Source organism: Homo sapiens, chromosome 13, assembly GCF_000001405.40.
Source record: "Homo sapiens chromosome 13, GRCh38.p14 Primary Assembly".
Taxonomy (NCBI): Eukaryota; Metazoa; Chordata; class Mammalia; order Primates; family Hominidae; genus Homo; species Homo sapiens.
Window position 1 is genome coordinate 42472677 of NC_000013.11, and position 13760 is coordinate 42486436.

The 13760-nt window shown below is 41.3% G+C and overlaps 1 long non-coding RNA gene across 1 annotated transcript in view; it reads left to right on the plus strand.

Moving 5' to 3' along the window:
- The window catches only part of LINC02341 (long intergenic non-protein coding RNA 2341), a 61065-nt gene extending 47785 nt beyond the window's left edge, over positions 1 to 13280 (plus strand). The window contains exon 4 of the long non-coding RNA NR_135319.1: positions 12793 to 13280. This is a non-coding gene — a long non-coding RNA (long intergenic non-protein coding RNA 2341). The remainder of the gene's footprint in view (positions 1 to 12792) is intronic.
- The last annotated feature ends 480 nt before the right edge of the window (positions 13281 to 13760 follow it).

A 13760-nucleotide genomic window follows, 5' to 3' on the forward strand; every position in this document is an offset into this window, starting at 1 on the left:
AAAAAAATCTTTGGACTCTTGTATCTTGTTCTTATAAAAAAAAAAAGATAACCTGTTAAAAATTCAGTCAGGTTGATTATTTGGTTTCATGTAGTCTAATATAGTTTATTTCCACTGGTGATAAAATCAAATTCAGAACACACTAAAATATTGAACATATTGAAAATATCTCTGTGATTAGGATATAGCTACAAGTTTCTGACTTTAAAAGATTTTGGGCTAGGCACGGTGCTCATGCTGGTAATCCCAGCACTTTGGGAGGCTGAGGCAGGTGGATCGCTTGAGCCCAGGAGTTGGAGACCAGCGCGGGCCACATAACGAAACCCCATCTCTACTAAAAATACAAACACTAGCCAGGCGTGGTGGTGCACACCTATAATTCCAGTTACTCAGGGCGCTGAGGCAGGAGAATCGCTTGAACCTGGGAGGCAGGGGTTGCAACGAGTCGGGATTGGGCCACTGCATTCCAGCCTGGGGGACTGAGATTCTGTCTCAACAACAACAACAACAACAACAACATCAACAACAACAACAACAACAACAACAACAAAAGCCGTAAAAGATTTTGTTTAACTTTTTTTTTTTGAGGCAGAATCTCACTCTGTTGCACAGGCTGGAGCGCAGTGGCGCAATCTTGGCTCATTGCAACCTCTGCTTCCCGGGTTCAAGCGATTCTCCTGCCTCGGCCTCCTGAGTAGCTGGGATTACAGGTGCGTGCCACCACATCTGGCTAATTTTTTTTTTTTTGGTATTTTTAGTAGACGTGGGGTTTCACCATGTTGGTCAGGCTGGTCTCGAACTCCTGACCTCATGATCCGCCCACCTCAGCCTCCCAAAGTGCTGGGATTACAGGCATGAGCCACTGCACCCAGCCGATTTTGTTTAATTTTAAGCAAGCGTGTTAACCGGTGGGGACCTCTCTCTTGCCCCAGTAGTTTCTCAACTATCAGAAAATTCTTCTGGTCAGTTTCCGTGGCAGCAACACCAGCTCAGGTTTCCTGATTTTAATGCGTCATTTGGCAAATGATCAATCAGCCACTTTCTACCACACTTCAATCACTGGCCAATGTGAAATGAGTTAAATGGTATTCTTTGCACTGGAAGAAACGTGAAGGTGATACAATTGCTCTCAAGAATTCATTCATACAAGGTTAAGGGTTAAATGCTTAGACATTTCACAGCCTCTAAAACCTGGATCTCAACCCCAACTCTGCTGTTTACTTGCTATCTGACTGCAGAGAGGTAACGAAAATCTCTGTGATTCAGTCTCATCATCTAAGAAACAGGAATAATAATAGAAAAATAACCTAAAATAATATATAATACAATATCATATAAAACAATAGGGCTGGTGTGAGATTAAGAGAACTGGTCCATAAAGCACTAAACATGGTGGCTGACACAGAGGAAATGCTCAGTCAGCATCAGGTGGCTCTTTAGATATGCAGTTGTGATCACATCTGGAATTCACTATGTGCTTAAAATGGATACTTTATATGAAGTCTGTCTATTTGAGATATCCCAAAAAATTAAAAATCAAGCTGACTGGTCTTTTGAGAATGAAAGATGTGGGGAAAAATGCAATGAAGATTGAATTTGGGTCAATTACTCACTGTCTTGCTTGTTCGGGAATTATGACTAGAAGTGTTAATAAAAGAATTAAGCCATGAGTTACTCTCAGAAGTATTGCTATAAACATTTGACCTCTGCTACCATCCCTGTTGTAAGGACTCATTGAACACTTACATGTTGCATGGTGCGTGCTCATTAATTTTTCTATTGCACTAAAGTTAACATTCTACATAGATATCAAAATTATTCCTACTTCACGAGTCTGTATCAGAAAAAGATTTTCAAGACAAGTGCCATTGCTTATGACTTTTCTGAACATAGGTCATGGGAAATCTAATCAGCATCAAAACTATGCTAGCATTTCTCATATTTTATTTTGAAAGGACAGCAAATGATCTCAGGATGGTACTGGCCCATCTCTCCAAACACTCTCTGTTGTTGCATGATAGAAGAGTGTGTGAGAATTCAAATGATAATTCATAATGGATTTGAAGGATGTCTTCTTTCTTGGTGATGAGGGGCTAGCATAAAGGGAACTTGGTTGACTTCCAATCCTTGAAGCTATTGCTTCTGATTCACTTCTGTTAAGCAGATATTTTTGGATAATGATACTATAGGATAAATGCTGATTAGGTCCATTGTTAGCAGAGGGGAGCTGAGCTAAAGCAATTTGCAAGTTGTGACTGTAGTTGCTTGATGAACTATTGAACTAATTGCCTACATTGCTGAACTAACTAAAGAATTTCTTTAAGTTAGAGGATGATGACAGGGAAGAGACTATTTACAAATAGTGCTTCTTGTACAGCTGGGTAGAATTTAGGGTCATTCATTTATGTTCAGCATTTCCAAAGGTTAACAATATGAATCATACAACTGAAATTGGCATCACATGGCTTTAGAATGTCACCACATCAAACACGCAGCTGGCGTCAGGGAAGGAGGCCTGATGTCATTGTATGTTTGGCCTATATGTTTTCTTAACCCAACAGCTAGCTTCCTGTGAAACAGTACATCCGCATGGAATGTCTCCGTGGACTACACGTAGAGTTCAGGATACTTCTGCCATCTTAGTTGTGTGAGTGAGCCAAATCACACAGCCAAATGCCCATTTGGAAAATAGGTTCTGAATTTATACACATGAAAAACCAAGGGAAAAAGATTTGCCTATAGAGAGATCACACCAAGGATACTGAGCTGGGGATGATTAAAATAAAAGTGACATTGACCAGGTAAAATTCCATTTTAGGTGACTGTCGCTGTCACACAGTTCTAGTGATACATTTGCAGCAACCAACTTTGCAAGCTACAAAGGATCAGCCTTATGATCCAGATTTGGCCTTTGATTTGGGGGATGCTATTTGCATTATGGCACTCTTCCTGTGATGAGCTTTATGACTTCTTATTACCCAGTACATAAAACTCTGCTATTGCATTGTGATGACTATTCATTTTAATCTTGAAGAATTTATAACCTGACTCGAGGTGAGTGATTTAAAATAGAAAAACAACCAAAGACATATGTTACAAATACCAGTGCTTCCCCTGAGTTCTCTGAGGCTAGTGTTGGGCTCTCTTGAGGCCAGCATGGTCATGGTTTCTGCTCTACCACCTCTGTGCATCATGAACCTGGAGTGTCTATACCTTCCCCATGTTTAGAACGGACAGATTTGATGGATGAAGAGTCTCCAGCTAAAGTTTCCTGAGGGAAGGTTCTGTCTCTTATGCAGCATTATATAAATCTAGTGTCTGGCATGGTGCCTAATGTATAGTGGGAATATAAGTATTTTGATTGAATGAATAAACAAATATAGATGTGCACATGGGAAGTAGACCACACAGGAAAAGTTACTGTGTATTGATTCATTTGCTGACTAGCAAATAGGATGTTTGGAAATAAATTGGTCATATTGCTATTACCCTCCAAATAATCACATTATTTCTACAGATTGCAATATAGGCATAAGCATCATGTGAAGTAGGTATCCATTCTGATTATAAAAATAAGGTGGTGCCATCTGGGAAGTGAGGAGCGCCTCTGCCCGGCCGCCCCATCTGGGAGGTGAGGAGCGTCTCCGCCCGGCCGCCCCGTCTGGGAGGTGGGGAGCGCCTCCGCCCGGCCGCCCCGTCTGGGAGGTGGGGAGCGCCTCCGCCCGGCCGCCCCGTCTGGGAGGTGGGGAGCGCCTCCGCCCGGCCGCCCCGTCTGGGAGGTGTACCCAACAGCTCCGAAGAGACAGCGACCATCGAGAATGGGCCATGATGACGATGGGGGTTTTGTTGAAAAGAAAAGGGGGAAATGTGGGGAAAAGAAAGAGAGATCAGATTGTTACTGTGTCTGTGTAGAAAGAAGTAGACATAGGAGACTCCATTTTGTTCTGTACTAAGAAAAATTCTTCTGCCTTGGGATGCTGTTAATCTATAACCTTACCCCCAACCCCATGCTCTCTGAAACATGTGCTGTGTCCACTCAGGGTTAAATGGATTAAGGGCGGTGCAAGATGTGCTTTGTTAAACAGATGCTTGAAGGCAGCATACTGGTTAAGAGTCATCACCACTCCCTAATCTCAAGTACCCAGGGACACAAACACTGCGGAAGGCCAAAGGGTCCTCTGCCTAGGAAAACCAGAGACCTTTGTTCACGTGTTTATCTGCTGACCTTCTCTCCACTATTATCCTATGACTCTGCCACATCCCCCTCTCTGAGAAACACCCAAGAATGATCAATAAATACTAAAAAAAAATAATAATAAAAATAAAAAAAAATAAGGTGGTGCATCGAATGGCAAAGTGATTAGGAATCCCTTTGGACAGTTCATTCGTAAGGAATTTGATTCTGAACTTTAAATTCCTTCTGGTAAGGTGAGCTAGCTTGCTTTAGCTAACACTTGCTCTGCCTGATTCTTGCATATCTTGATGCCTCTGTTATAAAGCACAGTAGTGACTAAATCAGTAGAAAACACTGCAGCCACTCCATGGGTCAGGGGGCTGGAGGGGATGATATTTAAGGACCCTTCTGTCCCTGAATTGTTCTAAGCCTATTAAAAAACCAACAAAATAAGACAACAAAAAAGGAAAAAGCCCACTTCCAGAAGCAGTCTTTTCTGTGAAAAAAAAAAAAAAAAAATTAATCAATCTATTATTTGGCATCTTGTTGAAAAGGCACAGTTAAAAAAAAAGATTATGAGACAAGTTTTTTTAATTTGCATTTCTACAAGTTGCTTTGCTGTCATCTAGAAATGGCTCAAGCCTTATGTTTCGGATCTTAGCATGAGTCAGGAGGGGCTTAGCTTCTGCCCCCAACCCTTATCCACCTGCTGATGGTGATGGGGAGGCTTTTGCATTTGTTTCCATGTCAGCTGACCCTTGGGCTTGGGTTCTGGAGCTTGCAATGTCCCTCACAGGGACAGGGACTGATCCTGGAATTGGCCTGGCAGTGTACTCACCCAGCGGGGTGAACTCAGACAACCGACAACTTGGTGACTTCGACAGATGTTTTTGTCTCAAAGCCTTGGGCACCTTGCCCTGCTGTCTCGCATGCAGAGGGTGATGCCTGGCGCCCTGCCTGGTGCCACCAGGAATGAGTGTAGCCCCAGGGAGTACTGCCAAGTCATGTCGGTGAGCTGCTTTCTGGGGGCCAACTGGCCACTGGATAAATGTGTTGGTCGGCGTGTTCAGAACAGTCAGGGGTCACACTAGCTTAAGTATCTCACTGCTTTATGTGGCTGTAACTTCTAAGTCTATGTTCTGTGTTTCAAGCCATTTTGTTTATACATTGCATGTGCTTCATTGTGCAATTGTGGTGACTGAGGGGGTTCATTGGACAGAAGCCATAGGTTTCACGGTTGTGTCTGTAGCAAAATATTAGTGGGAAAACATGCTGCCCCGAGTGTATTCTGGTTCAACTCTGAAGATTGAAGTCACCTAAACAATAAATAAGAGATAAACCCTGCCAGTCAACAACAGATTACATAGACCCACTTTTGGTAAAGCATGGTGCAGTTGAAAAGCACTGAGCTTGTAGTCAGGAAGCCTCTGCATATTCTGCTTCACCATTTATAAGCTGGGCCCTTGAATGTTTTCAATGTATTTTAAATTTGGTCCTGTTCCTATTTTAATAACTTTATTTTGTATTGAAGTATCTCTCAAATTAAAAAGAAAATGAGTGAAGAGGTTGCAAATTTATCAGATTACTTAAGTCTTTGTGCCTCAATTTCCTTACCTGTATAATCGAGTTCATTTATTCATTCAATACACAGCCACAGCAGTTGAATATTTTCTCCCTGCTAGGCACTGGCCTGGGTCCTGGGGGTACAATGGGGAAGAAGACAGACTGGGTCCTGCTCCTGTTCCAGGGAACAGAGTCATTATTCAGGGACAAATCCCAGAGCAAAGAACAAGGTGCTCTTGCAGAGAAAAGAACCCAGAGTCATTGGAATATGGAGGCCAAAGAAAGTTATTCTGCTGGGACCTTAAGCTCCATCTAGAGGTGATGTTTTGCGCTGAGCTAAAAAGATGAGCTGGGATTCTGTCAAGACTTGGAGCAGGAGCAGGGTGAGTGCATTCTGAACAAAGGGGAAAGTGTGTTTGGTCACATGAGGCAATGAAAGAGTATCTGGAAACAGGGAGATGCTGCTCCTGGAGAAAGACAGAGTGGCAGAAGTGCGAAGCGCAGCAGCAGTGAGGTGTTGTGCCTGTACTACCTTACTTCACAGAGGTGCTGGGACCATCAACTATGACAACACTCTGCAGGCTAGGAAAATGATTAACAGAGGTTTTTTTGTTTTTTTTTTTTTCTGATTGTGAAAACAACAAGCATTACATTTAAGGCCAATGTGATTGACAGGATTTGGTGATAGAGTGCCATGGGAGCTGAGGAAGGAGAAACTGAGGATGAGTAGTCATGGATTCACAGACATTAAAGTGCAGATAGTTTTATTTAATTGTAGTTAATTTAGGAAATACACGTTAGTATTAAAAAAAAACAAACCCTCCAGAATCTCTCCCCGGAGAAAGAACTGTAACATTTTGATGTGTTTCTTAACACCTAGGTGTGATTCCTTGTTACTCTCTGTGATGTTTAAACTGAGACCTAAAGATTAAGAAGGGAGTGGTAGCAGAGACATGGGAGGTGCCTCCAGGCAGAGATGAGCTTGTGGAAGGCCCCGAGAGGGGAGAGACCGGCCTGTGGAAGGACCTGGAAGAAGATCAGGGGGCTGGAGTCGAGGGTGAGAGCAAGAGCAGTGGGATGAAGTTGCAGGTTGGCAGCCAGATCACATGGGACCTTGTGGGGCATGCCCAGCATTTGGGCAACTGGGAAGTTTGATGAGTTTTGACCAGGAAACTGATATGCCATGGTCTTTCTTTTCCCAAAGACCACTGATTGTGGGAGGCAGGTGTGGAAGCAGGGAGACCAGATACATTCTCGTGAAAGATTATGGTGGCAGTGGAGATAGAAAGCATTACATTTAAGGCCAATGTGATTGACAGGATTTGGTGATAGAGTGCCATGGGAGCTGAGGAAGGAGAAACTGAGGATGAGTAGTCATGGATTCACAGACATTAAAGTGCAGATAGTTTTATTATACTCAGATAATAGAAGTGAACTGTAGTTAAGATGTTTCTGATTTCCCCATATTTTATCAATGCTCTATCATCACTTATCACTGATTCTTGTGTTTTTCCACTTTAGGCCTTGAAGAAATGCATGTTGGTCGAGAAGATTGCTTTACTTATCCCCTTTGTTTTCTGCCCTTCCTTCTCTCTACCCCTAATTCCAGGAATTTCCATCCCTTTCTGGGTGCTGGTCAGAACTCATAACTCGGAGCCACACCCATGATGTGGCCTAAAGGGGAGGCAGAGGAGACTTGGATGAGCAGACACAAGACATCCCAAAATGTGCTGGACAGGCAGGGGAAGGGAAGTGCTGCCCTTCCTTCTGATGTGGAACCTGCCCTCCCCACTCCCACACTCTGGATGAATCTCTTGCCTCTCTTGATCTTCTAGGTTAAACCAATATCTGGAGGTAAAGCTGAGTTGCTGAAGGTCTCATGAGTAGATGAGAAAACCAGTCTTAGTTTTCTCATCTACTGAGAAATGAGAGAATGAACTCCAGTCAGCTTTAGAACACTGACAAAAGTCAAAGCTGATGGTTTGACATGGAGTTAATGTTGACTGGTTAGGATGACTGGCTGGTGGTGAACTGGAATGTTAGCAGTGGGTATCTCTAACTCGTGAGATTACAGGTGACATTAATTTTCTTCTTTGTAGGTCTGTGTATTTTACAAGTTTTCTGCAATGAGCACGTGCTCTTTAAAAAACCTGATGAAAAATCAGTTTTATTATTGCCATTGCTGTAAAATTATATATACTTCTCAAATTCACCAGTTTTAATAACTATGTGAAATGTGTTTAATTTTAGGGAAAAGATGGCTTAGTTTTTATTGAAAGGAATTACCATTCTGTTTCTTTTGAATGACAGAGCTGAGAGCCCCTAAAAATAGATTGCCTATTTGTAAATCTGCCTTGTATACTTGGAAGTTTCTAAGAAAATGCAAATTGAGATTTTACTCAAAATGTTTAAAAATATAAGTAGTAGGCCAGGCATGGTGGCTCAGGCCTGTAATCCCAGCACTTTGGGAGGCCGAGGTGGGCGGATCACGAGGTCAGGAGATTGAGACCATCCTGGCTAACACTGTGAAACCCCGTCTCTACTAAAAATACAAAAAATTAGCCAGGCATTGTGGCGGGCACCTGTAGTCCCAGCTTCAGGAGGCTGAGGCAGGAGAATGGCGTGAACACAGCAGGCGGAGCTTGCAGTGAGCCAAGATCATGCCACTGCACTCCAGGTGGGTGACCAGTGAGACTCTGTCTCAAAAAGAAAAAAAAAAAAAGAAAGAAAGAAAAAAAATAAGTAGTATATCTAAGAACTTTAACCATATGACTATCATATATAAGCTGTGGCATATGTGTGTATGTGTATACACACATACTTATATATATACACACACACACACAATATACATTTACATACATAAAATTTACATATATAATATACATTTATACATATATGAAATCTTTGTATCACCCACAGAATTTAACTTAGTACCAGAATATTAGTTTTAGTATCTCAATAATTGGTAAATAATTGTTGGAAGTATGTGCTATTCTGGATTTTACTTATTAAAAATGGTAGGAAATGCAAATGACAGGAGGGAGCTTACTTTAAGTTTTTTTTTTTTTTTTTTTTGAGACAGGAGTCTCTGTCGCCCAGGCTGGAGTGCAGTGGCACGATCTCGGCTCACTGCAAGCTCCGCCTCCCAGGTTCACGCCATTCTCCTGCCTCAGCCTCCTGAGTAGCTGGGACTACAAGCACCCGCCACCACACCTGGCTGATTTTTTTTTGTATTTTTAGTAGAGACGGAGTTTCACCATGTTAGCCAGGATGGTCTCGATCTCCTGACCTCGTGATCCACCCGCCTCAGCCTCCCAAGGTGCTAGGATTACAGGAGTGAGCCACCGCGCCCGGCCAAAGTTTTTAAGCTTTTTAAAAACAGCTGTATGTTTGGATGAAAAAAATCAAGTAGGTACAAATAAAAGGACTTGATATAAGAGCAGTACATCCAGAAAGGAGATAGAGGCTTTAATTTACTAAGATCTCAATATGATGTAATGATTAAAAATAAAGAAATATAATTTTAGGCTGCATTAATATAATACAGTATCTTCAACAAGCGATATAGTACTTTTCACTTAAAAACAAGCCCTGTGTAGGCCGGGCATGGTGGCTCATGCCTGTAATCCCAGCACTTTGGGAGGCCGAGGTGGGCAGATAGATCACTTGAGGTCAGGAGTTCAAGACCAGCCTGGCCAACATAGTGAAACTCTCTCTACTAAAAATATAAAAATTGGTCAGGTGTGGTGGAGCATTCTTGTAGTCCCAGCTACTCAGGAGGCTGAGGCAGAAGAGTCACTTGAGCCTGGGAGGTGGAGGTTGCAGTGAGCTGAGATTACACCACTGCACTCCAGCCTGGGCAACAGAGACAGAATCCGACTCAAACACAAAGAAAGACAACCAAAAAACCCACCAAACCCTGTGTAATTTTCTTTGAAGAGAAAATATCTTCACATGGTTCAAATATAAAAAAATATAAAAATATGTTTATTGAAAAATTTACACTCCTTTTCTATCCTGTGTCAGCCTGGTTCCCATCTCCCCCAAGAGGTAAGCACTGGTGTCAACTCATTTATTCTTCTAACGATTTTGTGTAGTTTCAAACATTCTCTTCCTTTTAAACAAATGACAGCATTATGCACAGTGTTCTATACCTCTATGCCTTTTTAAATTAAAAGAGTATTTCAGAAATTATTTAATATTGGTTCTTCTTTATAGCTATATAATATTCCATTGTGTGGATGTACTATGATTAACAAATCCCCTGCTAATAAACAGTTAGGTTTTTCCCTCTTTTCCCTTGGCCAAACAAAGCTTCAGAAAAACATCTTAAAGCATTATGTGTATAAATATATTAGTAAGATAAATTTCTAGAAATGGAATTATTAACTCAAAGGGTATATACTTTTTTTTTTTTTTTTGAGGTGGAGTCTCGCTCTGTCGCCCAGGCTGGAGTGCAGTGGTGCAATCTCGGCTCACTGCAACCTCCGCCTCCCGGGTTCACGCCTTTCTCCTGCCTCAGCCTCCTGAGTAGCTGGGACTACAGGCGCCCGCCACCATGTCTGGCTAATTTTTTGTATTTTTAGTAGAGATGGGGTTTCACCGTGTTAGCCAGGATGGTCTCGATCTCCTGACGTCATGATCCACCCACCTCGGCCTCCCAAAGTGCTGGGATTACAGGTGTGAGCCACCGCACCCGGCCCCTCAAAGAGTATATACATTTTTAAAATTATACAGTTCCTGATAATTTTTCTCTAGGATTAAACAATTTATAGTCCTATTAGCAATGAATAAGAGTAACTATCTACATTCTCACCAACAATGTGTTATCAAGCATATAATTGTATAAGTGAAAAGTGGTATTTCGGTGTAGTTTTTGATTTCTATTTCTTCAATGGAGGGAGGACACACATGTTTCTAGGTTTATAGGTCATTCATATTTCCTTTTCTGTGTACTCTCATTCATACATTTTGTCTAGTTTTCTTTTATGTTGGTTATATTACCCTGTTAAAGCTAAACCCTTACTAGGGTCCAGAAGGCCTTATGATCTGGTACCCAGGTGTGTAAAATTTTCTGTGGATTAGATAATACCAGAGAAAATTTGTGAGAGATGATAAAAATGGAAAAATGATGCTAAAGCATTCCAAAGGCTATGGCCTGGGTGCTCACTTTTGCTTTAAAAACTTCCACATACTGGGAATATTTCCTTGGGAAAATAATCGGATTTCATAGTGGAAATTAGAAGAAAATATTTGTGTTAAGAAAATTCATGTTATCTTCTACTGTGATGGAAATCAACTTTTTCCCCATTAAAAAATATAAATCGTGTTACAGATTCAAGTGCAAGTGATTTTTAAAGTGACATGGCAAAGTGAAATGGAGGATTGAAGCAGTTTTCTGGATAGCCCAGGCTACCACCTGACCACCTCATCTGATATGTACATGTAATTAACAATTTTTCGTGAGAAGTTTAAATCACTATAGCAGTCAACTGTTTTCCAAAATTCATTCTTCTTTTCTTCTACTCTACTGGATTGTTTTCCTAAGCACAAAGAATTTTGCCACAGCTAAAGTCAGTATTTCTCAGCTTCTTATTGCAGCTAGATGTGGCCATGTGATTATGTTTTGGCGATGGGATATGAACAAAAATGATATGTGGCACATTCAAGTCCTGACCTGAAAGGATTGTTATGTGAACATCCATTGTGTCTTCTCCCTTTCTGCTGACTGAGATGTAGTTGTGATAGCGGGAACTGGAGGAGCCACTTTGGACTCAGAGATGGAAAACCTGTGTTGAGGAGTCCTGGACTTTTATGTGAAAACTTCTATTTAAACTATTGTATGTCTGAGTCCTTTGATCACAGCATCTTGTGCTGTATTCCCAAAAGTACAATATCTTTGCTTCATAATAAACTGTCTCCAAATGCAGTGACTTAAAAAAACAATCATTTATTAGCTCCTGATACTGTTGTTTGTCAATATGGTCTATGCTCATCTGGGCAGTTGCCTGGGTTCACTCACATGGCTGCAGGTAGCTGGTGGGTGTGCCAAGGGATAATTGGCTCTGGATGGTCTAATTCATGTGATTGACAGGGGCAGTGGGAGCAACTGTGTTCCATGTCTCTAGCATTTAACAAGTTCAGGCTTCTTCTCATGGTGGCTGGATTCCAAATGTAACCAGAGATAGCAAGCCCCAGTGAGCAATCACTTTTTACACCCCTGCTTGTGTTATACTTGGTAATGCCACACTGGCCAAAAAAAATAGCATGGCCAAACCAAGAGTGAATGTGGGAAGGTGTATATTTACAGCAGGGTTTCTGAACAGCAACACTACTGATATTGGGGCTGGAAAATTCTTTGTCTTGTGGGCCATCCTGTGCATTGTAGGACATTCAACAGCATTCCTGGCTTCTACCCCTCAGATATCAGTAGCAGTTCAGGCCATAACCTTCACACACCCCAGACCATAACACACAAACATGTCTCTAACATTGCCAATGACCTTTGCATGGAAAAATTGCCTTCAGTTGAAAATAACTGGTTTACAGGGAGATGTGAATCTGGTGTGAAACTTTGAGGACTATTAATGCAACAATCTGCCACATACAACAATTGATATAGTCAGCTTATTTTTCTTTGCTGTGTTGTTACTCTTAAATTCGGACACTGTTGCTAATTATCTCCACTGATGTGTATGTTTTTGAAAGCTGTTGTTTAGTTCAAGGACTCAGCCCTTGTGTTTAGAGCTTGATGTTGTTTGTGATTCTGCCTTTTATACTTGGACTACTAGCACAAAACTGGCCTTAGTTACTAGAAAATATTAGTATTGTGCTATATTGGATTATTATACTCAAATCTTTCCTTCTTCTCTGTAATAATACATTTCTTCCTGTTGTCAGGTGACTTACCATGCCTCACAGGAGGCAGAATACACATCTTTGCTCCATTGTCCTTGGGCTTGGCCGTGTGACTTGTTTTGACAGATAGAGGGTGGGCATATGTAAATGCCAATTCTGACAGAGGTTTTAAAAGGCTTTGCATGTTTCTGCAGGTCTCTCTTGTGCTCCTGCCTCCTGCCATGAGAACAGCAAGTCCCAGGTAAGAACTAATCCTTCTGCCTAACTCTCCATAGGAGAAAACCTGAACTTGACCTACGTTCTGGAACAGAGCCACCCAGATGACCCACAGACACTGGGAGAGAAATGAAGACTTATTGTTTTAGACTTTGATATTCTGGAATTGATTGCAGCATCATTACGGCAAAAGCTGACTAATACAATTCCATTTGTTATTCTATTAAGTTCTTTTTGTTAAAAAAGTATATAACCATTGTTGAAAAATTAGAAAATACAGAAAATCAAAATGAAGAAAAAAATTGGGTAGGAAGACAGGCTCAAACAACTATGATGCAATTACATGTTTATTTACAATTGTGATAAGTGCTATAAAGGGAAAGTCTGTATTCTAGGATAATATTAATATTTAAAAAGAGGGCATAGGCTAGGCATGGTGGCTCATGCCTATAATCCCAGCACTTTGGGAGGCCGAGGCGGACAGATCACCTGAGGTCAGGAGTTTGAGACCACCCTGGCCAACATGGTGAAATTCCATCTCTACTAAAAATACAACAATTAGCTGGGCGTGGTGGCACATACTTGTAATCCCAGCTGGTCGGGAGGCTGAGGCAGGAGAACCACTTGAACCCGGGAGGCGGAGGTCGCAGTGAGCCAAGAGCACACCACTGCACTCCAGCCTGGGCAACAGAGCGAGACTCCATCTCAAAAAAAAAAAAAAAAAAAGAAGGCATGATATAATCTGGAATCAGGAAAAACTTTCCAAAAGAAATAATGTTACGCATATCGTGTATTAAATACATAAAAACTATAATGTTGCATCTATTATAATACACACATACTTTTATATTACAAATAGGTTAGTTCTTATATATATATTTCTTATACATACTTCTCTCATATATAATGTAACATGTATAAGAGAACATATTACTGAATTTATTCT